The sequence below is a fragment of the Homo sapiens genome, chromosome X (genome assembly GCF_000001405.40).
Source record: "Homo sapiens chromosome X, GRCh38.p14 Primary Assembly".
NCBI classification, from domain to species: domain Eukaryota; kingdom Metazoa; phylum Chordata; class Mammalia; order Primates; family Hominidae; genus Homo; species Homo sapiens.
The window spans coordinates 27,699,663-27,726,927 of NC_000023.11; the positions used below are offsets into that span (position 1 = coordinate 27,699,663).

The window sequence follows — 27,265 nt, forward strand, 5'->3', positions numbered from 1 at the left end:
TTAAATAGCACCTGCTTCCATGCTCAGGTTCTGAGACCACTGGGAAATAAATGAAAAGGTTAAGCAGATAAGGGCCAAAATATAGGCAGGGTGTATGATTCACAACTGTAATCCCACTGTTTGGGAGGCCAAAGTAGAAGGATTGCTTGAGGCCAGGAGATGGAGACCAGCCTGGGCAACATAGGGATATTCCATCTCTACAAAAATAAAAATAAAACAAAAAATAGCTGGGCATGGTGGTGTGCACCTGTAGTCCTAGCTACTTGGGAGGCTGAGGGAGAAGGATGGCTTGAGCCTAGGAGTTCAACATCGAGATGAGCTATGATTGCATCACTGCACTCCAGCCTGGGTGACAGACTGTCCAAAAAAGAAAAGAAAAGAAAAGGGAACATGGGGCCAAAATATTACCTATATTTATTTTATACTGATAAAATCTAGGCTGGAGCATGTAGCCTACCATAAGAGTCAAAATGGACTGATAGTTTCCTGGCCCCTAGTCTAAACCTTGGATCAACCCATCCAATGAAAGATTGTGCCTTCAGACCAATGTATCTAAATCTTTGCCTTTCACTCCCAAGTTGGAGAACGGACCAGTTCTCCTGAGTGCTGTAACTTTGACAGGATAGATGAAACTAACTGAAAAAGGAGGAATGAAAATTAAAGCATTTTATGTGTTGAGGAGTATTAACACATCTGGAAATGGGTCATAAGTGTTAAGGAAAAAAAAAAATCCATCCTCATAGGAGGGGAAAGGATATATAAGGAGTAGGGAAGAACCTTTGCCCTTAATATTTTTTTTCTCTTTGCTTTATTTACCATTGGGGAAAACCATTGACTTATAGTCAAGCAACAGTTTTGCATTCTCCTGTTAGAATTGATTGATTCTTTTGATTCAAACAAAAGTGAAAATTGATTCTCACTTTTATGAGACTATTTCTTGCATAGCGATCACTGCTTCTTTGGTTATCCTTCCAGGGGAATTACTGGGAAATACGAATTTTGCCACCTGAAACCCCTGAAGTGGAACTGAATATTACGTTTATTATGTTCTAAGTCTACTTTGTAGCCAAGACCAACATTCACTCACTATTTTTCTTTTTTCACTGCACATTATTTCTAGCCACATTGCCAAACGTTCTGCAACAGAATAAAATGACAATATTAAAATACTCTAATAATAAAATGTCAATATAAAGCCACCCTAAACTTAAATAAAAATCACATCACTCCCATATAAAATTCTTGGGAAGAAATTAGAGTCCACAGATTAAAATTCCTTGTAAGTTAAAGTCCTGAATAAACCCCACAAATAAAATCACCTTCCTCTCATGAGGAAGAATTTAAAAGAAATTAAAATCCATAATTTATATTCTCAATTTCTCATCCTGCAAAAATCTCATTCAGGAGGCTTCTTCATGATAGTTCCAAACTAAAATTCATTTGGAAGCTTCATTATGGGATGTTTCTTACTGAGATGAGTATAATTCAGGGCAGAGTTTTTATTAATTCAACACCAAGATCCTAACATGCTTTAATTTTTAAAGAGTCCAAAGAAACAATGAATTAAAGTAAAGGAACAGGGAAGATTATCATGGCATTGTATCCAGTGCTACAAATTTTAGAGAGAAAAGTAATCCAAACAGTTTGATAGTGGATAGAACAAGTTAAAAGAACAGGAATATGTAAGACTTTAGCAATACTGTAAAGTGACTAGACCTAACAGACATCTGGAGAACACTCCACCCAACAAAAGCAGAATACATTCTTCTCAAGCATACACTGAAGGATAAAACATATGCCAATCTATAAAACAAGCCTCAATAAACGTGAAAGGACTGAAATTAATAAAATATATGATCTCTTACTAAAAAAGAATTAAATTAGATATAAATTACAGAAGGAAATATGAGAAATCAATAAACATGTGGAAATTAAGCAGTATACTTCTAAATAACCAATAAGTTAAAGGACAAATTACAAGGGAAATTAGAAAATACTTTTAGGTAAAAAAAGGAAAAACATACCAAAACTTGTGTCCAAAGAAAAGCTATAAGTAGTGCTTAATTTATAGCTGCAATGCCTTTATTAAATAAGAAGAAACTCTCAAATCGGTAACATAAACTTCCACATTGAGAAACTAGAAAAATAAGAGCAAACTAAATCCAGATAAAGCAAGAGACTCAAAATAATAAAGATTGGAGTGAACATAAATGAAGCAGAGATTAGAGAAAAAAAAGCAAAGAAAATCAATGAAACCAAAAGTTGGTGCTTTGAAATGAGAAAAAGAAACTGACAAACTTTTAGCTACATTTATCAAGAAAAGAGAAGACTTGTCTTCTATTAATATCTGGAATGAAAGAGAATATACCACTACCGACCTTAGATACGAGAAAATAATTTTAAGAAAATAATGTGAATAACTGCATGCCACAAATTAGATGACTTTGATGAAATAGACAGCTTTCAATAAATGACTGAAACTGACTCAAGTAGAAATAGAAAATCTGAGTAGACATAAAAAGTAAAGAGATTGAATTAGTAATTAACTCCTCTGCCACTAATACACAAAACATTCCCAGGTCCAGTGGCTCCACTGTAAATTCTACCAAACAATGAAAGAAGATTAATACCAATTCCCTCACAAATTCTTTGAAAAAAAAAATAGAAGATGGAGCAGGTCCCAAATCATTCTTTGAGTCCAGTATTACCCCGATACAAATACCAGACAAAGATACCAACAAAAAAAACCTACAAACCATATTCCTTATGAATATAGATCCAAAATCCTCAAAAAAAAAAACTAGACAACTGAATATAGAGCATAAAAAAATAACTTCACATCATCACTGAAAAAGTTTTGCCCCAAGAATGCAAGTTTGGTTTATCATCTAAGAAGCAATTGATTTAATATATCATATTAATAGGTAAAAATAGCAAAAAACACATAATCATCTTAATAGATACAGAATAAACATTTCACAAAATTCAACAACATTTCATGATAAAGCATCTTAACAAGCTAGTAATAAAAGATAACTGCTTCAAATTAATAAAAAGCATCTAATAAAAATCCATAACTAACATCACATTTAATAGTCAAAAATTAAATGTTCTCTCCCTAAGATAAGGAACAAGACAAGAATGTCTGCTCTTGCCACTTAAACGCTGTATTGGAAGTTCTAGCCAGGGAAATTAGGTAAGAAAAATAGATAAAAATATTTCATATTAAAAAGGAAGTAAAACTCTTTCTATTTTCAGATGACCTGACCTTGTGTACAGGAAACCTAAGGAATCCACTCGAAAACTATAGGAACTAATAGACAAGTTCAGCAAGGCTGAAGGATACAAAACCAATACACAAATATCAATTGTATTCTTATATAATAACAATGAACAATCTGAAAATGTAATTAAGAAAACAATTACATTTACAATAAATCAAAATCATATAATTCTTAGGAATAAATTTAACAAAAGAAGTACAAGAATTGTACACAGAATATTGCAAAACAGTTCGACAGAAATGAAAGATTTAAATAAATGAAAACACATCCCATGTTGACAGAACGAAAGATTTAATATTCTTAAGATAGCAATGTTTCCCAATTAATCTACAATCTCTATCAAAATCGCAGCTGGCATTTTTGCAGATATTGGCAAACCGATCCTAAATTTATATGGAAATATAAGGGACTCAGAATACCCCAAACAATCTTGATAAAGATGAACAAAGACAAAGGACACTATTTCCCAATTTCAAAACTTACTACAATGCTAAAGTACCCAAGACAGTAAAGTTCTGGCATAAGGTTAGACATGATAATTAATTGAATAGAACTGAGAGCTCAGAAATAAACCCTTACTTTATGGTCAATTTATTTTTGGTCAATTGATTTTTGAAAATCAATCACGGTCAGTTGATTTTTGAAAAGAGCGCCATGACAATTCAATAGACAAATAATGTTATTTTCAACAAATGGTGCTGGGAGAACTGGATATCCACATGCAAAAGAATGAAGTTGGACCCTGAACTCACACCATGCACACACATGAAAATAATTCAAAATGCATCATACACATAAATTTAACAGTTAAAACAATAACAGCCTTAAAATAAAACATAGGAATAAATCTTTATATTTATTTGTATTGTATTTAGAAAAATAGGCAATGTTTTCTTAGATATGACACCAAAAGTACATATCTAAGCAATAAAGGAAAAATAAATTGAACTTCATCAAAATTAAAAATATTTGCACCCAAAGATCACCATAAAGGAAGTGAAAAGAAAATTCGCACAATGAGAAAAAATATTAGCAAATCATATAGTGATAAGGGACTTGGATCAGCATAAAGAACTCTTATGACTCCATAATGTAAAGATAACACATTGTGTGTGTATATATATATATGTATAAATCAAGATACACATCATCAATTGATGGACACTTAGGCTATTACCATATCTTGGTTATTGTGAATAGTGCTGCAGTATATATATATATATATATACATATACACACACACATATGTATATACACATGTACACACGCGCGCACATGTGCGTGTACACACGTGCGCACATACGTATGTACGTATATATACGTATATATGTACATATATATATACATATATATGTGTGTGTATATATATACACAATGGAATATTATCCAGCCTCATAAAGGAGATACTACCATTTGTGACAATATGTGTGAGCCTGGAGAATATTATTCTAAATAAAATATGCCATACACAGAAAGAAACATAGTGTATTATCTCACCTAAATGTGGAATTTTGTTGAACGGTCAAATAAATAGAATTAGAGTAGAATTGTGATTGCCAGGTATGAAGAGGGGGAGGAAATGGGAAGAAGCATGTCTAAGCGTACACTCCTTTATGTAAGATAAATAAGTCTGGAGATTTAATGTACAGCATAAGGATTATAGTTGAGTATTTTATTGTATACTGAAAATTTTCCAAGAAAGTAGATTTTAGGTGCTCTTACCTAAAAAAGTGACTATAGAAGATGATGAATGTGTTAATTTGTTAGTTTGTAGTAATGATTTCATTATGTATGTGTGTAGCAACACATCATGTTAAACACCTTAAATATATGCAATAAAATAAATTTCAAAAATTAAGACATGAAATTTTTTAATTTTTTTATTTCAGGTTCAGGGGTAGATATGCATGTTTGTTATATAGGGAAACTGCATGTCACAAAGATTTGGTGTACAGATTGTCACCCAGGTAATAAGCATGGTACCCAATAAGAATTCTTTCTGATCCTCTCCCTCTTCCCCTCCATCCTCAAATAGGCCCTAGTGTCTCTTCTTTCCCTCCTAGTGTTCATGTGTTCTCATCATTTTGGCTTCCATTTATAAATGCAATATTTGTTTTTTGGTTCTTGTGTTAGTTTTCAAAAGAAAATGGCCTCCAGCTCCCTCCACGTTCCTGCAAAGGAGATGATCTCATTCTTTTTCAAGGCTGCATACTATTCCATGGTGTATATATACCAATTCTCTTTATCCAATCTACCATTTATGGGCATTTAGGTTGATACCATGTCTTTGATATTGTGACTAGTGCTGCAATAAACATTTCTATACAAGTTTTTGTATAGAAATATGTTTCATTTCTTAGGTATATAACTAGGAGTAAAATTACAGGATCATATGGTAACTCCATGACTAGCTTTTTGAAGAACTGTTTTCCAAAGTGACTGGACCATTTTACATTTCCACAAGCAAAATATGAAGGTTTCAGTTTTTGCACATCCCTGTAAACACTTACTATTCTCATTCTTTTTCATTATAGCCATCCTACTGAATGCAAACTTGTATCTTATTGTGGTTTTGATTTGCATTGCTTTAATGATCAGTGATGCTGAGCTTTTTTTCATATGCTTGTTGGCTGCATGAATGTCTTCTTTTGAAAAGTGTGTTTATGTCCTTTGCCCACTTTTTAATGGGGTTGTTTTTTCTTGTAAATTTACTTAAGTCCCTTATAGATGCTGGATAGTTGACTTTTATCAAATGCATAGTTTGCAAATATTTTCTCCCATTCTGTAGGTTGCCTGTTTACTCTGTTGCTAGTTTATTTTGCTGTGCAGAAGCCCTTTAGTTTAATTAGATTCTATTTGTCAATTGTTGTTTTTGTTGCGATTGTTTTTGCCATCTTTGTCATGAAATATTTGCTAGTTTCTATGTCCAGAATGCCTAGGTTGCCTAGGCATTTTCCAGAGTTTTCACAGATTTAGGTTTTACATTTAAGTCTCTAGTCCTTCTTGAGTTGATTTTTTGTATGTGGTATAAGGAAGGGGTTCAGATTCAGTCTTCTGTATATGGCTAGCCAGCTATCCCAGCACCATTTATTGAATAGGTGACCCTCGTTTCCCTATTGCTTGTTTTTGTCAGCTTTGTCAAAGACCAGATGCTTGTAGGTGTGCAGCCTTATTTCTTGGCTCTCTATTCTGTTCCATTGGTCTATTTGCCTGTTTTTTGTACCAGTGCCGCGCTGTTTTGGTTACTGTATCCCAGTAGTATAGTTTGAAGTTGGATAACGTGATGCCTCCAGTTTCTTTATGATTATTATTATTATTTTTGGCATAGTATTGCCTGGGCTATTTGGGCTCCTTTTTTCATTCCATAGGAATTTTAAAATACTTTTTTTTTCTAATTTTGTGAAGAATTTCTTTGGTAGTTTGAAAGGAATAGCATTGAATCTGTAAATTGTTTGGGGCAGTATGGCTATTTTAACATTATTGATTCTTCCTCTAAAGAAAGACCAACTAAAAACTGGGAAAGGGAATTAAATAGACATTTCTCAATAGAAGATATATAAATAGGCAATAGACACATGAAAAGATGCTCAACATCATTAGTCATTAAGGAAATGCAAATCAAACTACAATGAGATGCTACTTCACACCCACTAGGATGGCTATAAATTTAAAAAGGCACAATGAAAAGTGTTGGCAAGGACGTGGAGAAATTGGAAACCTCATACATTGCTGATGGGTTTGTGAAGTGGTACAGCTGCTTTGGAAAACAGTTTGGCAGTTCCTCAAAAAGTTAAACATAGAGTTCCATATGACCCAGCAATTCCACCCTTATTTATGTATCCAAGAAAAATGGAAACATATGCCAACACAAAAACCTGTACATGAATGTTTATAGCAACATTACTCATAATATCCAAAATGTGGAAACAACCCAAATATCCATCAACTGATGAATGGATAAATAAGATGTGGTATATCATAAAATGGAATGCTTTTCAGCAAAAATAGGGAATGAAGTACTGATACATGCTACAATATGAATGGACCTTGAAAACATTATGCTAATGAAATAAGCCAGTCACGGAAGAACACATATTGTATGGTTTCATTTACATAAAATGTTTAGAATAGGCAAGTGAGTAGAGCCAGAAAGTGGTTGCCTAAGGCTAGGTGAATGGGGGGAAATGGGAAGTGACTACCAATGAGCATGGGGTTTCTTTCTCGGGTGGCAAAATGTCCTAAAATTAGATTGTGGTGATGGCTGCACAACTCTGTGAATATACTAAAAACTATTGATTTGTATAATTTCAATGGATGATTTTTATTGAATGTTAATATCTCAATCATCCTGTTTAAAAATAAATAATGTGCATATTGTAGTTTTTAGGGATGAAGTTTCCTGATATCTGAAACTGACTTTGAAATTGATCAAAGATATTGTGGATTGATAATTGGATAAATGGGTAGATGGCTAGAGACACAGATATATGATGAAGCAAACAGCAAAATCTTAACAATCATAACATTTAGGTGGTGATTATATGGATATGGCATTTCTATATGTTTGAAAAATTTCAAATATAATGATGGAAAAATACCAAAAAAGTAATTTGAAGCTAAATTATAGTTCTGTAAACTAGAATCGAGTGTTGCAACCCAGAATGAAGACTCGGTAATATCTAGGGAAAGGAGCATATATGGAAATCATCTTGGCTTTCATTTCACTAGGATGCTAATCAGCCTATTACTGTTGCTTGGAATCCGTGGTCTATGAGTTTAGGATTAAATTGGGCTTTGTGTTCCCATAATATGTTAATATTTGCACTAGGGGGTTATAATATCTGGAGGGAAAATAAAACTATAGATACATTAGTTACTGAGAGTGTTATTTGAAACACTGTGGCTTTTTTGACAAAGTAGAATTTTGTGATTATGGAAGTTAGGGTAAATAAAAATGGCATCTTATTAGAGGTGCTTTTCTTTCCTATCCACCAATTTCAAAATCTTTTAGTATGTGTTTTCTCTGTTTCACATTTCTTATTTTATTTTACTTTATTTAAAATATTCTACTTTTATTTTAGTTTTGTGATGTACATGTGAAAGTTTTTTACCTGGATATATTGAGTGATGCTGAGGTTTAGGGTACAATTGATTCCCCTCACTCATGCACTGAGCATAGTACCCAATAGTTAGTTTTTCAACCCTTGCCTCCCTTCCCTCTCTAATAGTTACCAGTGTCTATTGTTCCCATCTTTATGTCCATATGTGCTCAGTATTTAGCTCTCACTTACAAATGAGAACATGCGCTATTGTTTCCTGCATTAATTTGCTTAGGATAATGGCCTCCAGCTGCATCTATGTTGCTGCAAAGGACATGATTTCATTCTTCTTAATGGCTGCATAGTATTCTATGGTGTATATATACCACGTTGTCTTTATCCAGTCCACCATTGACATCTATACCCATACCACTCTGAATGTGTCTGATATCAGAAGCTAAGCAGAGTCATGCCTGGTTAGTTCTTGGATGGGAGTTTCGCCTTTCTGTCACATAGTGCTACACTCAACTCTCATAAGATGTATTTTCAATCTTGTATTATCTTAGCTATATCTACTGTCTCTGGTTTTATAATGGTTTATATATATGCAATCTTCTTTCAAGGATGTTTCAAGGAATATTTGTACTATTGTCTACCCATTTGTTTCAGTCTACATAGACTGATATTTAGTAGATGCCAAAGGCATTGCTACAGAAGAATTTTCAGGTTAAACCCCTACCGATCTATTGAGGACCAGTATCTTCCCCTTCTCCTCAAAACACTGCTATCTCTGCTATTTAATATTCCCAATCTCAAGTAGCATTTCTTTCTACTACCCATTTACTCTTCCATTACTGGAAAATGCCTCTAGTGTTTCATTTTCTTTTCTTCACTAGCTCAGTTGAGTTTCTCATAGTTCTAGTTCCACCTGCTTTTCTTTTTTCTTTTTTTACAGAGTTTCACTCTTGTTGCACAGGCTGGAGTAGTGCAATGGCGTGATCTCGGCTCACCACAACCTCGGCCTCCCAGGTTCAAGCAATTCTCCTGCCTCAGCCTCCCGAATAGCTGGGATTACAGGCATGTGCCACCACGCCCGGCTAATTTGGTATTTTTTTAGTAGAGACAGGGTTTCTCCATGTTGGTCAGGCTGGTCTTGAACTCCTGACCTCAGGTGATCCACCTGCCTCAGCCTCCCAAGTGCTGGGATTACAGGCGTGAGCCACCGCGCCCGACCAGTTCCACCTGCTTCTTAAGTTGGTACCTTTCCACTCTATTAGATTCTGGGCTAGTTCTCTTCACTGGACCTTAAAGACTTTCATTTGTGTTTGTATTTTCCGTACATTTTGTTGTAACACTTTTTTTATAACATTATATTAACTTATTTTGTTGATTAGTGCATAGTGAGAGATAAAAAATTGAACTTCTTTACAGTTGATTCAAGGTCTATCTGAAAAATAAGGCAAGGAACCAGTTGATTTTAAACTACACCACAAACAATAAAATATTAGCAACCGTGATGGGGTTCTTCTCACACTGTATCTCTCTGACTGACTTTTCTTCCTTCCCTTTCCACTCTTAAATGCTTATGTGATTACGTTAGGCCTACTTGGATAATCTAGAATAACCACTCAATTCTATTGTCAGCTGATTAGCAAATCTTAATTCCATCTACAAAGTCTCTTTTGCCATGTAACATAAAAATCACAGAAGTAACACCATGGGCTAAAGGGGTTAAAGATCATGGGGGCCAAAATCTTGTCTCTTCACCAGTCCTTGTCTGTGGACTGTTTCTGTGGCTGGCATGTTCATGGACTGTTTCTGTGGCTGGCATGTTCATTTTTTTTTTTAACAATGTCTTTCAAAAAGCAAAAGATTAAATGTGGGAAATGCCCAATTATTTTTTTTTGCTTTATGATTATGCTTTTTGTGTGTCCTATCTAATAAATCGTTGCAAATAATATGCCCTACTTTTTCTAGGTTTTTTTTATTTTTAGCTTTCACATTTCTATGAAATGTATTTTGAGTTAATTTTTGTATATGGTTTGCATTAAGGGCCTATGCTCAATTATTTTCCACATAGATGTTCAGTTGTTCAAACGTAGTTGAAGATTCTTTTCCCAGTGATTTTCTATCCATTTTCTGTACATTGTACTGTTTCATTGACTATGTGCCTATCCTGCAGCCCAATGTCATATTGCACCATTAGAGTAACTCTTCAAATCAAGTAGTGTAAGTCCTTTGACTTTGTTCCTCAGTTTAAAAGTGCTTTGGGCAGGCATTCTTGGTCTTTTCAATTCCCATATACATCCTAAAATCAATTTTCCAATTTCTATAAATTTTTAAAACTTCTGAAATTTTGGTTGGTTTTGTGTTGAATATATAGATAAATTTGGGTGTAACTTGTATATTATCTATTTTAGTCATCCAATCCAGAATTAGAGTATTTTTCTTAATTTATTTAAATATTCTCTAATCTGTTTGTCAGTGTTCTCTAGTCTCAATTCTTCTGTCTTTCGTGTCTTTTGTTAAATTTAATCATAAGTACTTGATGATTTGAGGTACTATTGTAAATACAAACTAATATTTTATTCATTTTTGTATATTAATCTAGTCTCTGACCATGATAAAGTCACTTATTTTTTCTAGAAGTTATATGCAGATTCCTCAGCATTCTCCTATTTTAACAATTATTTCACCTGCATGTGTATATAGTTTTACTTCTTCCTTTAACATTTTATCACTTTCATTTTTTTCCTTCCTTCATTGCTATGGCTAGGGCCTCCAACACAAAGTTTAAGAGAAGTGTTGAAAGGGGACATTGTCTTGTTTCTGACATTAGAAGAAAAGATTTACTCTTTCACCATTAAGTATGATGTTAGCTGTAGGATTTTCATTGTTTGTAGATGCCCGTTATCTAATTGAGGAAGTTGTCTTCTATTACTAGTTTGATGAATATTTTTATCATGAATGGCTATTTGATTTTGTAAAACGATTTTTCTGCATCTCGTAAAATGACAAAATATACACCTACTATGTACCCACAAAAATTAAAAATATAAAAATTGAAAATAATTTGAAAAGACAAAATTATTTTTCCTTTTGTTCTCTTAATATGGTTTGCTAATTACATTAACTGATTACTTCAGTATTAAACAAAACTGGAATTCTGTAGATAAATTACCCTCCTTAGTCAGGTTGTATTATTATTTTATATATGGTGGACTTAGATTCAGTAACATTTGGACCATGCAACATATAAGAGACCATGCAATATTTTTCTTTCTGTGTCTGGCGCATTTCACTTAATATAATGTCTTTCAGGTCTTTCTCTGTTGTGGCAAAGAGCAGAATTTTCTTCTTTTTTATGGGTGAATAATTTTCCTACATCTATATGTGTGTGTGTGTGTGTGTACGTGTGTGTGTGTGTGTGTGTGTGTGTATTATATATATATATATTTGACTTTGTTCTTTAGAAGTGCTTATATGTGTATATATATACATTCCTCTTGTCACACAAAAGTAACTATGTGAGATGATGGATATGCTAATTTGCTTCACTATAGCAACCACTTTACTATTTATATCCCATAACATCATGTTCTAAGCCTCAAATATACACAATAAAATTGATTTCAATGAATAAAAATTAAAGAAAATAATTAAAAAGGAATATTGATCTGCAGTTTTTTATAATATCATTTTGTGATTTTAGTATTAGAGTAATGCTGGCCTCATAAAATGAGGTGAAAAGTGTTCCCTCCATTGAATTTTCTTAAGGAGTCTGAGGTTGGTATAATTTCTCAAATGTTCACTAGATTTCAACAAAGAAGCCACCAGAAACATGGAGGGTTTTGGGGGGAAGTTAGCTAACTATGAATTCAATTTATTTAATATATCTAGCACTATTCAGGTTATTTATTTCTTCTTGAGTGAGTTTTGGTAGCTTGAATCTTTCAAGGGACTTCTCTGTTCATCTAGGTTTTAGAATTTGTTTGCATAAAGTTGTACATGATGTTCCTTTATTATCCTTTTAATAGATATAGGATCTGCAGTAATATTCATTATTTCCTTCAAGATATTGGGATTTTCTTTCTATCATTTTTTATTATTAATATAGCTAGGGGTTGTGAATTTTGTTGATATTTTCCAAGAACCGGATTTTGGCATTATTTTATTTTGGAGTATTTAATCCAATTAACATATTTCTGTCATTTGAGTCATCTCAGAATTGGCATCTGTTGACTGTCTTTTCCTTTGAAGTGGGGTCTAAGTTTCCTGGTTCTTTGTATGTCACATAATTTCAAATCGTGTCATGGCCACTAGGAATTTCATGTTGTAGACACTCTGAATTATGTTATATTGCTCTGAACAGTACCAATTTGTTTCTCTTCCAGTAAGTAGTTAAAATAGTTAGACCCAAACTGCAAAATATCCTAACTGAAGGGGTCAGTGGCTCAAATTTCAGTTGTTGAAAGCTGTTTCCAGTTTTCCCTACATATGCATGTTTCACAGGTTGAAGTGAGTTTAAACACAAAATTTAGGGTTTCTCTTCTTTGATTATTTTCCTTCCAGGGTTCTGTGTTCACTTGACTACCAGAAACATTTCTAGTTTACCATCAGAGTTTTAGCCGCTTCCATGCTTCTGTGACTGCAGCTACTCTCAGGTAAAACTGTAAAAATACAGGGTATTCGCACAGTGCTGGTCACTTGGTCCCTTCTAAAAATGTTTGTATTTGTACAGTTTCTAGAGCCCCAGGTATTTGGGTTTATTTGTTTATTTTTGTCTAATGTTTATAGCTCATATTTGTGGGAGGATCAATATGTTAGGCGCTTGCTTCTCCAAAATGGAAGCAGAAACCACTAGTGGAAGCTTTAAAATAGATAATTGTCTGTTTCTATAGAGATAGACTGTATTCACTTGGGATTGAGCAAAGGCATGAGCCTCAGTAAAGTGGACCCATCAGAAAATATGTGTAAGGAGTCTGTCTTGAATTAATTAACAGTGAAATCCCTATTTATGATCCAAGTAGATATGCTGAGGCAGACCAGTGTACAGAATTTGAGGAAGAGGTCTGAGTTGGAAAGAGAATTTTGGCAATCACCAGTGTATAGAATGTATGGCATCTAAGTGAATTATACTGGATTAAACTATGAAGGGAATAATTTTATGTAAAGAAGAACAAAGTCTGAGGACTGAAAGGAGACATTTCACAGCTTTAGGAGCCAGGAAAATAAGAAGAAACAAGGAAAAAAGACTGAGAATAAAATAATGGACTTGGAAGGTATGAGGAGAATCAAATAAATGCTTCAAGAAAATTGGATTAGAATAATGCCAAATGTTGCTAATGAATGAAATAAGATGAGGACTGAAAATTGGCTGGTAAAATTGGATTAATGTACATTATTGATTACCTTAAAAGAGCAGTGTGTATGAAGTAGTTGAAAGAAACTCTTCAGGAGATTCAAGAAAAAAATAGGTAATAAGAGGCAGAAATACCTAGGACATACACAAACCTTTTGAGGAGATTTTCTGTAAAGGGGAACAGAGTAATGGGGCAGTAATTGAAGGAGAAAATTGGAGTAAAAAAGGTATTAATGTTAGAAGTAACATTATACATTGTTTATTTGCTGGCAGAAATTATCTAACCAAGGGAAAAGAAAATTGAAGATGTAGGACATCAGTTGGCAAACGTTTTCTCTAAAGGGACAGATATTAAATATTATAAACTTTGTCAGCCATATGATCTCTGTCATAACTGCAACCATAGGTAACATGTAAATTAATGGGCATGGCTGTGTTCCAATGAAACTTGATTTACTAACAGATGAAAGGCAGGGTTGGGTTGTGGGCCTTAGTTTGCTGGCCACTGATATTAAGAGAAAAGAGGGTAATATCAGAAATTAAATTCTTGAGTAGGCAAGCCTTGAGAGGATCCAATATACAAGTATAGAGATTATCAGTTGATCAAAAAAGAAAGTTCATCCATTTTAATAGAATTTAGGGTGAAGTATGACCCTTATATAGGTAGAATGGTAGATGGTGGTGTAGAAGCATATACAACTCTCCTTTAGATTTCTTCTATTTTTCCATGTTAGGAAATGTTAAATCATCCACTTGATCTTAATTATCCTACCCATCCCTGATAAACATCTTCAGCTTTGCCTACCCCTATTCCATGCTCTGCTTACAGTAACAGAATCATTTTATAATAGAAAAAAAGAGAGGAAAATGCAAAATGATTTTTAATGGTTTCTCAAATAACACTAATTCTGCTTCTCATTCATTAAACACCTAAAACGATAGAGCAGTCTAAGAAATCAAGGGGTTAGAATTATTGTTAACCTTTAATTTTACCAAACCAGATTCTAAATGTATGGTAATTCATTGTGAGTTTTTTTTTTTACTTGAGACTGTTCTAAAAGTGCACCTAAAACATCTTTTTCCTGTTTGTCATAATAAGGCAAAGAAATGTTCTTAGCAATTTCTTTCCCAGCCATTTTTTAACTTCAAAAACTTTTCTCTAAATATGCTTAGTTTAGTAGAGAAATGTTTATTCCCATTGTATAAAATGACTACATTTTAACACCACTAAGATTTAGAAGGTATTCTATTTTGGTGGATTACTTCTATGGCAGCCAACATTACATTACAGAAGGTGCTGTAAACTACAGTGATTGCAAAAGTAATAGCAACAAGCATACAGATATTTGAGAAAATCATGTTTTCTGAGATTGAATATATTGACAGGTCTTTCTAGCCTCCCCATTTTCCCTACTCTTCCAAAATTTGAAGTAATTGCAAATGTCAGTGCCCTGGATTCTATCAGGTTTGAGGCCATATTGCCTCAGTCTTTTGAGTAAGAACCCTGCAGCCACCTTATAAAACATGTTTAAAGTAGAAACCACATGGATTTTTTTATTTTTTATTTTTATTTTTTTAGTTAAAGACAAGTAGTTCTGGGTTCAGACATAATTTTCAGAAAATAGCTTCTCACCTGTGTGTTGAGGACTTAAAATGGTTTTACTATGACACTAATATTTTTCCCTTCACAAGATACAGTGTACAATAATTTGTAGGGAAAATAATATTTGAGTGGAAATGGGAGTCAAAGGTAACTGAGAGTAGGCCGGGCACGGTGGCTCATGCCTGTAATCCCAGCACTTTGGGAGGCCAAGGTGGACAGATCACGAGGTCAGGAGATCGAGACCATCCTGGCTAACACAGTGAAACCCCGTCTCTACTAAAAATACAAAAAATTAGCTGGGTTGGTGGCAGGAGGCTGAGGCAGGAGAATGGCGTGAACCCGGGAGGCGGAGCTTGCAGTGAGCCAAGATCGCGCCACTGCACTCCAACCTGGGCGACAGAGCGAGACTCCGTCTCAAAAAAAAAAAAAAAAAAAGGAACTGAGACTAGATCTATTCTTGAAATCTGTGGTGGAATTTGGAAAAACTAATAAACGTCATGACACTTTAACTCAATGGTTAAGAGCACAGATTTAGGATCCAGGCTTACAAGTTGGAGAAAGTTACTTATACCTCAGGATCTCTGCCTTCTCATCTGTAAAATAGAAATCAGTAATACCCACTTCATAGGGTTATTATAAGAAGTAATGTTTTAATATTTGTCAAAAACGTAGAACAGTACCTAGCACAATAAGTGTCAGTTAAATAAAAACTAAATAAATAATGCATGAGGGGAAGTTATTGATGCAAAATAAAGTGGCCCAGGAAAAGAGCTTGGGGGCATCACTGCGTCAAGCTATGTCATAATAAAAACTAAGTATTCATGCTCCCAGGTCATTTCTGCCTCAATAACTTTAACTACAAGTACATAAGACTTTCAGAGATGACTAATGCTAAATTAATGATAGTCCTTTCTTCAGAATGGATATAAATATTTTTGCTTTTCTATCTCAGAGCTTTTAACATTATTATTGTCAAATATGTTTGAACTACACATTGCATAACCTTAAACTTAAATTTGTTATGTTCTCCCTTCATCAGTATTGGACAAACTAAAATCCAATGACTTGGTTTGTTTATTATCCTTATTAAGAAATCTGATTAGACTTGCACTAAAACAATTTATTTTATCCTGTTAGGAAGCTGCACTGTTGCAGAGGTCCATTAACTCTTTCAGGACGGTGTGGAATCAGTGGGGAAATCTCTAATTGCTACTGACACAGGTGAGTGGCATGGGTAGCAAATTATGCATGGCAGCAGCAATTTCCTAGAAGACCTGTGATTGCTTAGTGGTTAAAAAGCTTTAATGTGCCTCCAGTGCCTAAGTCATTAACAGAGAATGATTTAGGCACAGGAAGAATCTAACTAAAATGTAAAACTGTGAAGGCATTACAAATAATAGTGTACCTAATAAAAGTACTTGAATATTAGTTTGTGTCAGATACATTTTCCCATTAACTATAATAGGTCATGAAAAATACAAAGCAATTGAAAAGCACAAAAAGAAATCTTGTCATAAAATGACACAACAATAATCAGAAATAAAGCAAACAACCTTTTCTTTATGTTTACAACTTGCTCATATTTATAAAATCTTCACTTTTGTAAGAGTTTAATGTGCCACTGTCACTATATCACTGGCTTTCCAAGCCTTCTCATCAGCTCCCATAGGAAATGTGTCATTCAATTTTAAAAACAGGGGAAACTGAGACTGTATGTATTTCTGAGCTGTAAAACTTGTGATATCCAAGTATTTTATTTTGCTTTAGGATTACAGTTATTCTTTTTTTATTTTTAGTTCTGGGGGACATGTGCAGGATGTGAATGTTTGTTACATAGGTAAAGGTATGTCATAGTGGTTTACTGCATCTATCAACCCATCACCTAGGTATTAAGCCCAGCATGCATTAGCCATCCTTTCTAATACTCTCTCCCCGCACCCCACCCCCGACAGGCTGCAGTGTGTGTTGTTCTCCTCCCTGTGTCCACGTGTTCTCATTGTTCAGCTCACACTTACAAGTGAGAACATGTGGTGCTTGGTTTTCTGTTCCTGCATTAGTTTGCTGAGGATAATGGCTTCCAGCTTCATCCATGTCCCTGCAAAGGACATGATCTCGTTCCTTTTTATGCCTGCATAATATTCCGTAGTGTATATGTACAACATTTTCTTTATCCAGTCTTTCATTGATGGGCATTTGGGTTGATTCCGTGTCCTTGCTATTGTGAATAGTTCTGTAGTTAACATATGTGTGCATGTATCTCTTTAATAGAATGATTTACATTCCTTTGGGTATATACCCAGTAATGGGATAGCTGGGTCAAATTGTATTTCTGGTTTTAGCTCTTTGAGGAATCACCACACTGTCTTCCACAATGGCAGAACTAATTTACATTCCCACCAACAGTGTTAAAGTTTCCTTCTGCTCCACAACCTCACCAGCATCTGTTGTTTCTTGACTTTTTAATAATGGCCATTCCAACTGACATGAGATGGTATCTCATTGTGGTTTTGATTTACATTTCTCTAATGATCAGTGATGATGAGCTTTTTTTCATATGTTTGTTGGCTGCATGAATGTCTTCTTTTGAGAAGTGTCTGTTCATGTCCTTTGCCCACTTTTTAATGGGGTTGTTTTTTTCTTGTAAATGTGTTTGAGTTTCTTGCAGATTCTGGATATTAGACCTTTGTCAGGTGGACAGATTGCAAAGATTTTCTCCCACTCTGTAGGTTGCCTGTTCATTCTGATGATAGTTTCTTTTGCTGTGCAGAAGCTCTTTAATTAGATATCATTTGTCAATTTTTGCTTTTGTTAAGATATATAATGTTTTATTTCCCTAGAACAACTATTTAAAAATACCCATGTTCTCCTTTCAGTCTCTAGAGAAATGTGAAATTTTTAAAGTACATACAAGCATAGTCTACCAACCATGTACAGTTCTGATTGCATTTTCAATCCTATAATTTTCATGAGAGCATAATTTTTTATTCCGTTGAATTGCCATAACTTAGTCATTTCTCTATTATAAAATATTCTATTTTACTATTGTTAACAATGTTATAATTAACATCATTTTTCCTAACTTTTGAGAAATAATTTACATAAAATAAAACCAACACATATTAAGTGTATAGTTTTATGAGTTTTGGTGATTGTATGTATTTGTGTAGCCATTCCCACAAACATGATATAGATCCAAAAATTCCATAGTGACTCTTTGAATTAGATTTCCTCCTTTCATCCTCCATCCCAGGTAACCACTGATCAGCTTTTTGTCACTATAGTTTTGCCTTTTCTAGAATTTCATACAAATGGAATCATGTACTATGCAGTCTTTCATGTTTCATTTTCTAACATAGCATCATGTTTTTGAGATTCATTCATGTTTTTGTGTATATCAATATTTTGGTCGTTTTGTTCCATAGTATAAATATAGCACAATTTGTTTATTCAATCACCACTTTTAGGATACTTCCCCTACTTCTAGTTTGTGTATAAGCCTATTATGGTTAATTTTATGTGTCAACTTGACTTGGCCACAGGCTGCCCAGTTACTTGGTCAAACATTATTCTGAGTGTGCCTGTGAGAGTGTTTCTGGATGAGATTAACATTTCAATCGGTAGACTGAGTAAAGCAGACTGCCTTCCCTAATGTTGGGGGAGCCCTGATCCAATCAACTGAAGGCCTAAGTAGAAAAAAAAACAGCCAGCCTTTCTGAGAACAAGAGGGAACACTGCCTGCTTAACTGCTTGAGCTGCAACATTACTCTTTTCTGGCTTTCAAACCATGACTGAAACATTGGTTATTCTTGGGTCTCAAGCCTGCTGGCTTTCCAAATGGAATTTAAAATCTTGGTTCTCCTGGTTCTTCGGACTTCAGACTCAATCTAATACAACACCATTGGCTCTTCTGGGCCTCTATCTTGCTAACTGCAGGTCTTGGTGCTTCTCAGACAATTCCTTATTACATATGTATGTGTGTGTATGTATGTATATTATATATGTATACATAAAACAGGCACGCATATACACCCACATATATCCTATTGCTTCTGTTTTTCTGAAGAATTTTGACTAGTACAAAGTCTTTCTGTAGACCTATTTTTTAATTTATCTTGGGCAAACATCTAGGAGTGGAACTTCTGGGTCATGAAAAGTGCATATAACAGTGATATTTAATTGGCAAATTTTTTTCAAAATGGCTGCAACATTTTGCATCCCCACCAGCAATGTATGAGAAATGCAGTTGCTTCATATCTTTGTCCAAACCTAGTGTTTTCCATTTCTTAGATTTTAGCAATTCTAGTGAATATATCATTGTGGCTTTAATTTTAATTTCCTCATGGTTAATGACATAGAACACTTTTTCTTATGATAATTGGCCATAGATCTATTTCGTTTTGTTAAAGAAAATATGTTAAAATATAAAACATATATAAAGAAAGTGTATTTTAAGAGGTACTTTTGTTAAGTACCTCTTAAAATCATTTACCCATTTAATTTTTTTTTTTTTTTTTTTTGAGACGGAGTCTTGCTGTCACCCAGGCTGGAGTGCAGTGCGATCTTGGCTCACTGAAACCTCCGCCTCCTGGGTTCAAGCGATTCTCCTGCCTCAGCCTCCTGAGTAGCTGGGACTACAGGTGCATGTCGCCATGCCTGGCTAAGTTTTGCATTTTTAGTAGAGGTGGGATTTTGACATGTTGCTCAGGCTGGTCTCAAACTTCTGACCTCAAGTGATCCGCACACCTCAGCCTCCCAAAGTGCTGGGATAACAGGCGTGAGCCACTGTGCCAGGTCAAAAATTTTATTTTCTTGATAGTGAATTAAATTTGTTCTTTATATTTTTTGGATACATGGCCTTTGTTAAATTTATGATTTACAAATATTTTCTTCCATTCGGTGTATGGCAATCAATTTTGTTTCCTAAACCATGTCTGTAAAAGAACAAAAGTCTATTTGTGTTTTTTTTTCTTTTATGGATTATGCTTTTTTTATATCCTGCTTAAGAAACTTTGTCAAAGTCAATATGACAAAGATTTTTTTCCTGTGTTTTCTTCAAGTGGTTTTGTATCTTTATCTTACATATAGGTCTATAATTCATTTAAGCTAAATTTTATATATGATTTTGAGTCAAGGGTTTTTTTTTAACCATACAGATATCCAATTGTTCCAATAATATTTATTTAAAAATGTATATTTCCCCTATTGGAATACCTTAATACCTATGTCAAAAACCACTTCACCATATATATGTGGGTCTATTTCTGGAATCTTGACTTTGTTTCGTTTAGATAATGTCTATTACACCTATACTACACTGCATTAATTATTTTATCGTTATAGTGAGTCTTGAATCAGACAGTAAAAGTTCCCCAAAGTTATTCTTTTTCAAAGCTATTTCAGCTATTGTAGATTATTATTATTATTATTTTTTTTTGAGACGGAGTCTCGCTCTGTCGCCTAGGCCGGACTGCGGACTGCAGTGGCGCAATCTCGGCTCACTGCAAGCTCTGCCTCCTGGGTTCACGCCTTTCTCCTGCCTCAGCCTCCCGAGTAGCTGGGACTACAGGCGCCCGCCACCGCGCCTGGCTAATTTTTTGTATTTTTAGTAGAGACGGGGTTTCACCTTGTTAGCCAGGATGGTCTCGATCTCCTGACCTCATGACCCACCCGCCTCGGCCTCCCAAAGTGCTGGGATTTCAGGCGTGAGCCACCGCGCCCTGCCGATTATTTTTATTTTCATATATTTATTATAATCAACCTATCAATTTGACTAAGACTCCATTAAATCTATAGATCAATTTGAGAAGAACTGACATTTCAAAAAAATTTAGTCTTCTAATTTATGAAAACTATATGTATTTATGTGTGTGTTCTTTAAGTTAATGTTACCCATGTTTTGTAATTTGGTGTTCAGACCTTACATATATTTTATTAAATGCATTTATAAATAGTTTATTTTTTACTTTATTAAAATTTGAGTTTTAAAATTTATTTCTTAAATATTTTTATTTTATAGAAATACGATTAATTTGTTTATATTGTATTGGTCTTTGTATTTGTATTGTATTGGTCTTATAAATTGTAAGCTTGAAAAGTGTGATTGTTAATTGTAATAACTATCTTACAGATTTTAAAGGGTTTTCCACATACATAATTAGATTATCTGCAAATCAAGATGGCTTTGCTTTTTTATTTTTCAATCAAATTGTAGGCCTTTCATTTATTTATCCATTCATTCCATTTATCCTTTTGCACTGTCTGATACTTCCAGTATAATGTTGAATATAATGGCAGCAAATACTTTAAAGCTAATCCAATTTAAGAAAATGGTGCATGAGAACAAAAAGAAGGAAAAGTTAAAAGCTAATTAATTTCACTGTTGCTCATAATAAGGTACTGATACATAATGTTTAAACAAAGAAAAGACTAAGGATGTCATATAAATATATATAGAACAAGGATTTTTAAAGTCCTGAATATCGTAGAACTACAAAATACTAAACGTATTTAAATAAATACAAATGGACATAATTCACCTAATAATTTTTTAGTTTAGGATTGAAACACAAAGCAAACCTAATTCTAATCTATGGAATAAAACAAAGATTGAAAATGAATTGATGGACAAGAGAAATTAGTTAGAAAACAAAATCTGCAAAATAAGAAAACATAAGATTGTTTAAAATAATAAAGTAGATTAGCTCACAGAGGAAAGAAAAAAGAAAGCATTAAAACACAAAATAAGAAATAATAGGAGGCAATCAAGTAACTCATAATTTTAAAAAATCACTCACAAACTATTTTATGCAGCCCTATGTAAAAAATCTAAATTAAATGGATAATTTTCTAGAAAAATACAACAGAAGAATAATTACCAGAAGAGAAATTTGAAACAGATAATTTCCCTAGATAATTGGAGAAATTTGTAAATAAAATAATGCCCTCCTCCCTGTGAATAACACCAAGCTCAGATGGTTTCACATGAAATCCTACCAAATCCATAAAGAACAGATCATTCTGATGGTAATTCACCTATTCATGAGTACATAGAAAGCTGAAATATATTAAAATTATTTTCATCAAGTATGAATGACATTTTATCCATAACCTGAAAAATGCACAAAAAGGAAAACCACAGAACATTTTCATTTATCTCTCATTGAGGCATCTCATTTATGCAATTTAATGCAAATTATTATGATTGATCTCTAACAATGTTGAAAAGACATTTTTACTGGATTCAAATCTGTCCTTTTTTAAAAGAAAACAAAATAAAAATACCTTGATAAAATAGAATTCAACAGATACTTCACTAAAATGATTTATGTACAGATGAATCTCGACTTACAATGTGGTTACGTTCTGATAAGCCCATCATAAGTTGAAAATATTGTAGGTTGAAAATGCATTTAATAAACCGAACCTATTGAAGATCATAGGTTAGCCCAGTCTATATTAAATGTGCTCGAAGCTCTTACATTAGTCTAAAATTGGGCAAAACCCTCTAATGCAAATATTATTCTATAATTAAGAATGTATAATTCACATTCAGTAGAAAGCATACTTCAAATTTTGAATTTTTAATTAGTCAAAATTCAAAATTGGATGTGTGGTTTCTACTGAATGTGTATCACTTTCACAACATCATGAAGTCAAAAATTCACAAGTTGAACCATTGTAAGTTGAGGATTGTCTGTGTGTGTGTGTATGTGTGCATGTGTATAATCTTAAAGCACATGTTTATTATAATATACTGCTTGTGTTCCAGATAAAAGCAGGAGGATAACAAAATGCTCACTATCACAACTGCTACTTAACATTTTATAAGGTGCATTAGCTAATGAGATTAATATGGGAAAGAAATTAGAGATATAACAATGTAAAACAAGGAGGTAAAAGTATTTCATGTAACAGATAATAAGAAAGCGTAACTGTAATCCCAGGAGAATGATCTGAAAAGCTACTAGAAAAAAAATAAGTTATTGGGTTATAAAATTAGTATTCAAAAATCAATAGACATCTGCACAAACAAAATCCATTAAAAATCATTAAAAGGATTTTATTCATTTACAATGGCAACAGAACAGGAAAATATATAGAGAAACAAATCTGAAATAAAACTATAGGTTTTCTGAAGGATGCAAGAATTATACTTGTATGGAAAACTATACCATGTTTTATCTAGGAAGACTGAACAATATAAAGATGTCCATTCCCCCAAAGTTAATTTATAAATTATAAAATTTATAAATAACCAAAAATCAAAATCCAGAAGGCCTAAATGAAAAGAGTAATAAATGTTTCTAAATTATTTTTTAAATCAAAAGCAAAGTCAAAAGACAAATGAAGAGCTGTGAAATATCTTTACGATTTGTACCACAGACAAAAGACTAACCTGCTTAATGAATAGAAAAAAAACTCCTAGAAATCAAGAATAGTAAGACCAACAACACAACAGAAAAATGGGCAAAGAAATGAACCAATAATTCTTAGAAAAACAAATACAAACTGAATTTTAAAATAGAAAATGATTCTGAGTTTTTTATAAATTAAAAAATGCAAACACACTCTATAGAGAAGCTTTTCCTTACCTATCATATTCCAAATTTTTAACAAAGCATGGCTGTTGAGACTATGGGAAAACAGCATTCTCATACATTAGTGCTAAGAGTGGAAAATGGTGCAAATCCTATCCAGGACAATCTGCCATTATTTACCAAAATACAAATGCAATTCCCCTTTGACCACAGATCTTCTCTTCCAGGTATTTGTCCTGCAAAAATGCTCATGCATTCTAAATGATATATGAACAGGATTACTCATTGAGACACTGTAATAGTAAACAACTGTAAATAAACCATGTGTATATCAATGGGAAATTTATGAAATAACTGGAGCTATATCTACATAATAGAATATTATGCATCAATAAGAAGAATGAGTATAGCGTTTATGTACCAAGATAGAGTGATCTCCAATAACATTTTAGAGTAAAAAAAACAAGATAAAATATTGTTTGGTGTGCTACCTTTTTTTTCCTAAGAAATGAAGCTAGTGAATATATTTTCATATTTGCATATATTTGTATTAAACACTAGGAGGATAAGAAAAAATGCAATAAAAATATTTATCAGTACACAGTGCAGTAGAATGGGTTAAGAGGGTGGATAGCAACAAGACTTCCAAACATGCATCTTGTATGATTTTGAATAAATATATTATCTACTCAAAAAATTAACTCTTAAAAAATAATCATAGGAATATGGCCCTGCTCTCTATTTTGAAGAATTATTTTAAATAGTAGATTAAATTTATGTTTCTACTTGGTTTTAGATGATACGATTACATATGAAGAAAAATAAGATTTACTGGATACATTTGATGTAAGAGGCTTTATATATTTCTCAACTATAAGACAAAAAACAGTAATTAATAAACGTTAATTATTGTCTCCACCTCTTCGTGGGGGAACAGTATCCCTTGTTTACTTCATATATCATTGAAGACTGGGATAAACTACTGGAAAACTGAGTTTGTAACTGTTTGGAATATAAAAATTCTTTAATTTTCTGCTAGGAAGAACAAGGGGAAAAAAACCTTTTTACTCCAGAAGTCATTACTGTACTGGGTTACCTGTATACTAACTTTAGTGGAATATATTAAATTTATCAGGCAACAGAAAAGAAATGTTATAAAAATCTATTTTGTCAATTCTTTTTTTAAAATACAAAAGATGTAAGCACATTCAATTCTTCACAGCTACAGAATCAATTCTCCAAGTAACAGATTTATATTCACATTTATTAACAATTTGATAGATTGTTGCCAGGTTTTTAACTAAATACAGCCTGTTTGTATATTCTAGGTATATTTTTATTTCAAATTCAGCCATCTCACATATACTTTAAAGTGAGAGGGAAAAAAGTCATATTTTAGCCAAGAAGAACTACCTATATGACATTACTATAAGTAAGTGTATATATTCCGTTTCTGAGAAAACGGACTAACAGCTTGAATATTTAAACATATTTGACTCTAAATAATTATTACAGAAAACAAATAAAATATAATATTGTTATGAGACTCATATCAAGTATTGCATCCAGATTTCATGTTGGCAATTCCATATTTATAAATTCTTTTTTTAAAAATAAGAGACATGATAGTAAGTTGTGGTACATTCTAATTGCAAGACAGAAAGACTCCATCCACAAGAGAAAACTATATAAGCCAAGTCAGAATTTTTAGCTGAATCTTTCAGCATGCAGCTCTGTAAGATTCATCCCCAGTGATGGTTACATTGGTCATATTTAGGAAAACAAAAATCAAATACTAATCTCATTTCCAAGGACATGCAAAATGCCCAAGGAATGCATTTCCCTTCAAAAATACTGCAAATACTATTTAAGTATTAAGATAGACTCTTAGCTCAGCAATCCCCAAATGGAGGCTGCATTGAGAGTTAATAATAGCTAGAATTGGAGAATTTTGTTTTTATCTGCCCCAAAAAGATTTATTTGTGATAATGACAGATAATAAATTTGACCTGCTGAATATAGATGATGGCATTTTAACAACATAATATATTTATATTTTAAGTCTTTATTTTCAGAGTTAAAATATAAATATATTATGTTTTATAAAGATCTAGATGGGTCCAATAATATACATGGTTAAAAATTGTAAAGATAAATATTATAAATTGCATTTTAAATGTAATTGAACACATATAAGAGGATAGTGTTACAAGTAGAATAATATAACTTGCAAATTAAATTATAAATAAATAATATTTGAAGCTAAAACATAAGTTTATCAGAATAATTCAAAGTATGTTATGAAAATACTCAGAACAAGAAATCGGTTGCTCATCTTTTAAGTGTAAATATATAAGATAAATATATGAAATAAATATATCTATAAATATAAATCAGAACCGCTGTTAAAAAATAAAACACTGCAAATACAAATGTTCTTTCAATTTATTTTCTGACAATAATGTAGCTATCTTTGAAAAGAACAAGAGAAATGAGTTAGCAACCTATCTTAATGGTTTGGTATTATCTAAATCTATATAGCTATACTCTCTTGCTTGCGTACCCTACTTGGTCTAACACAAGCTTGATAACTTATATCACAACATAGACCAAAAACTGCCACTTATTATTCAGGTTTCCGTGCCCTTCAGGGCATTTCTCTCTAGTCCTTTTCCCCATAATAAATATTCTCAGTGGCAAAGTGATTATTTTCCCCCCTCTCAGTTCTCATAACCTCGTAATCTGAATGGGATTTGGGAGATCAGTTCTTAACAACTCTTTCTTTCTCTAGACTAATTTACAGTTCTACTTAAAACCAAAGATTATGTAGTTCCTTTCTTTATGCCATTAGCTAACATCAATTATGCACCTACTATGTGCCAGTCATGAGACATGTATTGTCTCATTTATTTTTAGGAACACATTAAGGTAGGTACAACAATTTTATAAGCTTTTAAATATTATGTATTATATATACATAGCTAAGCAAATCATATGTGTAGAGCATTAGTTATTACAGAGTAAACCCACCCACATAAAGCACTCAGACTAAGAAATAATATATTACTGTTGCTCCAGAGGCCCCATCATACTCCCTCCCCTCTCTGAAAAGGTAATGACTGTCCTGCCTTCCAACAACAGATTATTTTCCTGTTTTGGAACACTTTACAAATGCAGTCACATAATTGAGTTCTTTTTTATCTGGCTTCTTTTGCTCTATGTGTTTGTGAGATTTATCCATAATGTTTTGTGCAGTAGCAGTCCTTGTTTCATTGCTGTATAGCGTGTCCTTGTATGTACAGACAACTCACTTATCCATTTCATTCTTGCATGACATTTTGGTTGTTTCCAAGTTGAGGATATCATGAATAATGATTGTATGAACATTCTTTCCTATGTTTTTTCATGCGCATATGTGTGCTTTCTGTTGGGTATATACT

At 33.1% G+C, this 27,265-nt stretch overlaps 1 protein-coding gene across 9 annotated transcripts in view; it reads left to right on the forward strand.

Annotated features, from left to right (window-relative positions):
* The window catches only part of DCAF8L2 (DDB1 and CUL4 associated factor 8 like 2), a 281,002-nt gene that overhangs the window by 230,722 nt on the left and 23,015 nt on the right, over positions 1 to 27,265 (forward strand). For 6 of the 9 annotated variants that reach the window (XM_024452372.2, XM_024452371.2, XM_024452373.2 and 3 more), the window contains 2 exons: positions 12,896 to 12,987; positions 16,426 to 16,509. The exons of 1 other annotated variant lie outside the window; for it this stretch is intronic. The gene's annotated coding sequence lies outside the window, so the exon portion shown is untranslated. Of the gene's footprint in view, positions 1 to 12,033; positions 12,110 to 12,895; positions 12,988 to 16,425; positions 16,510 to 27,265 lie in introns of those variants that run through there. 2 more of the 9 variants (XM_024452376.2, NM_001353450.2) reach the window with 2 other exon arrangements.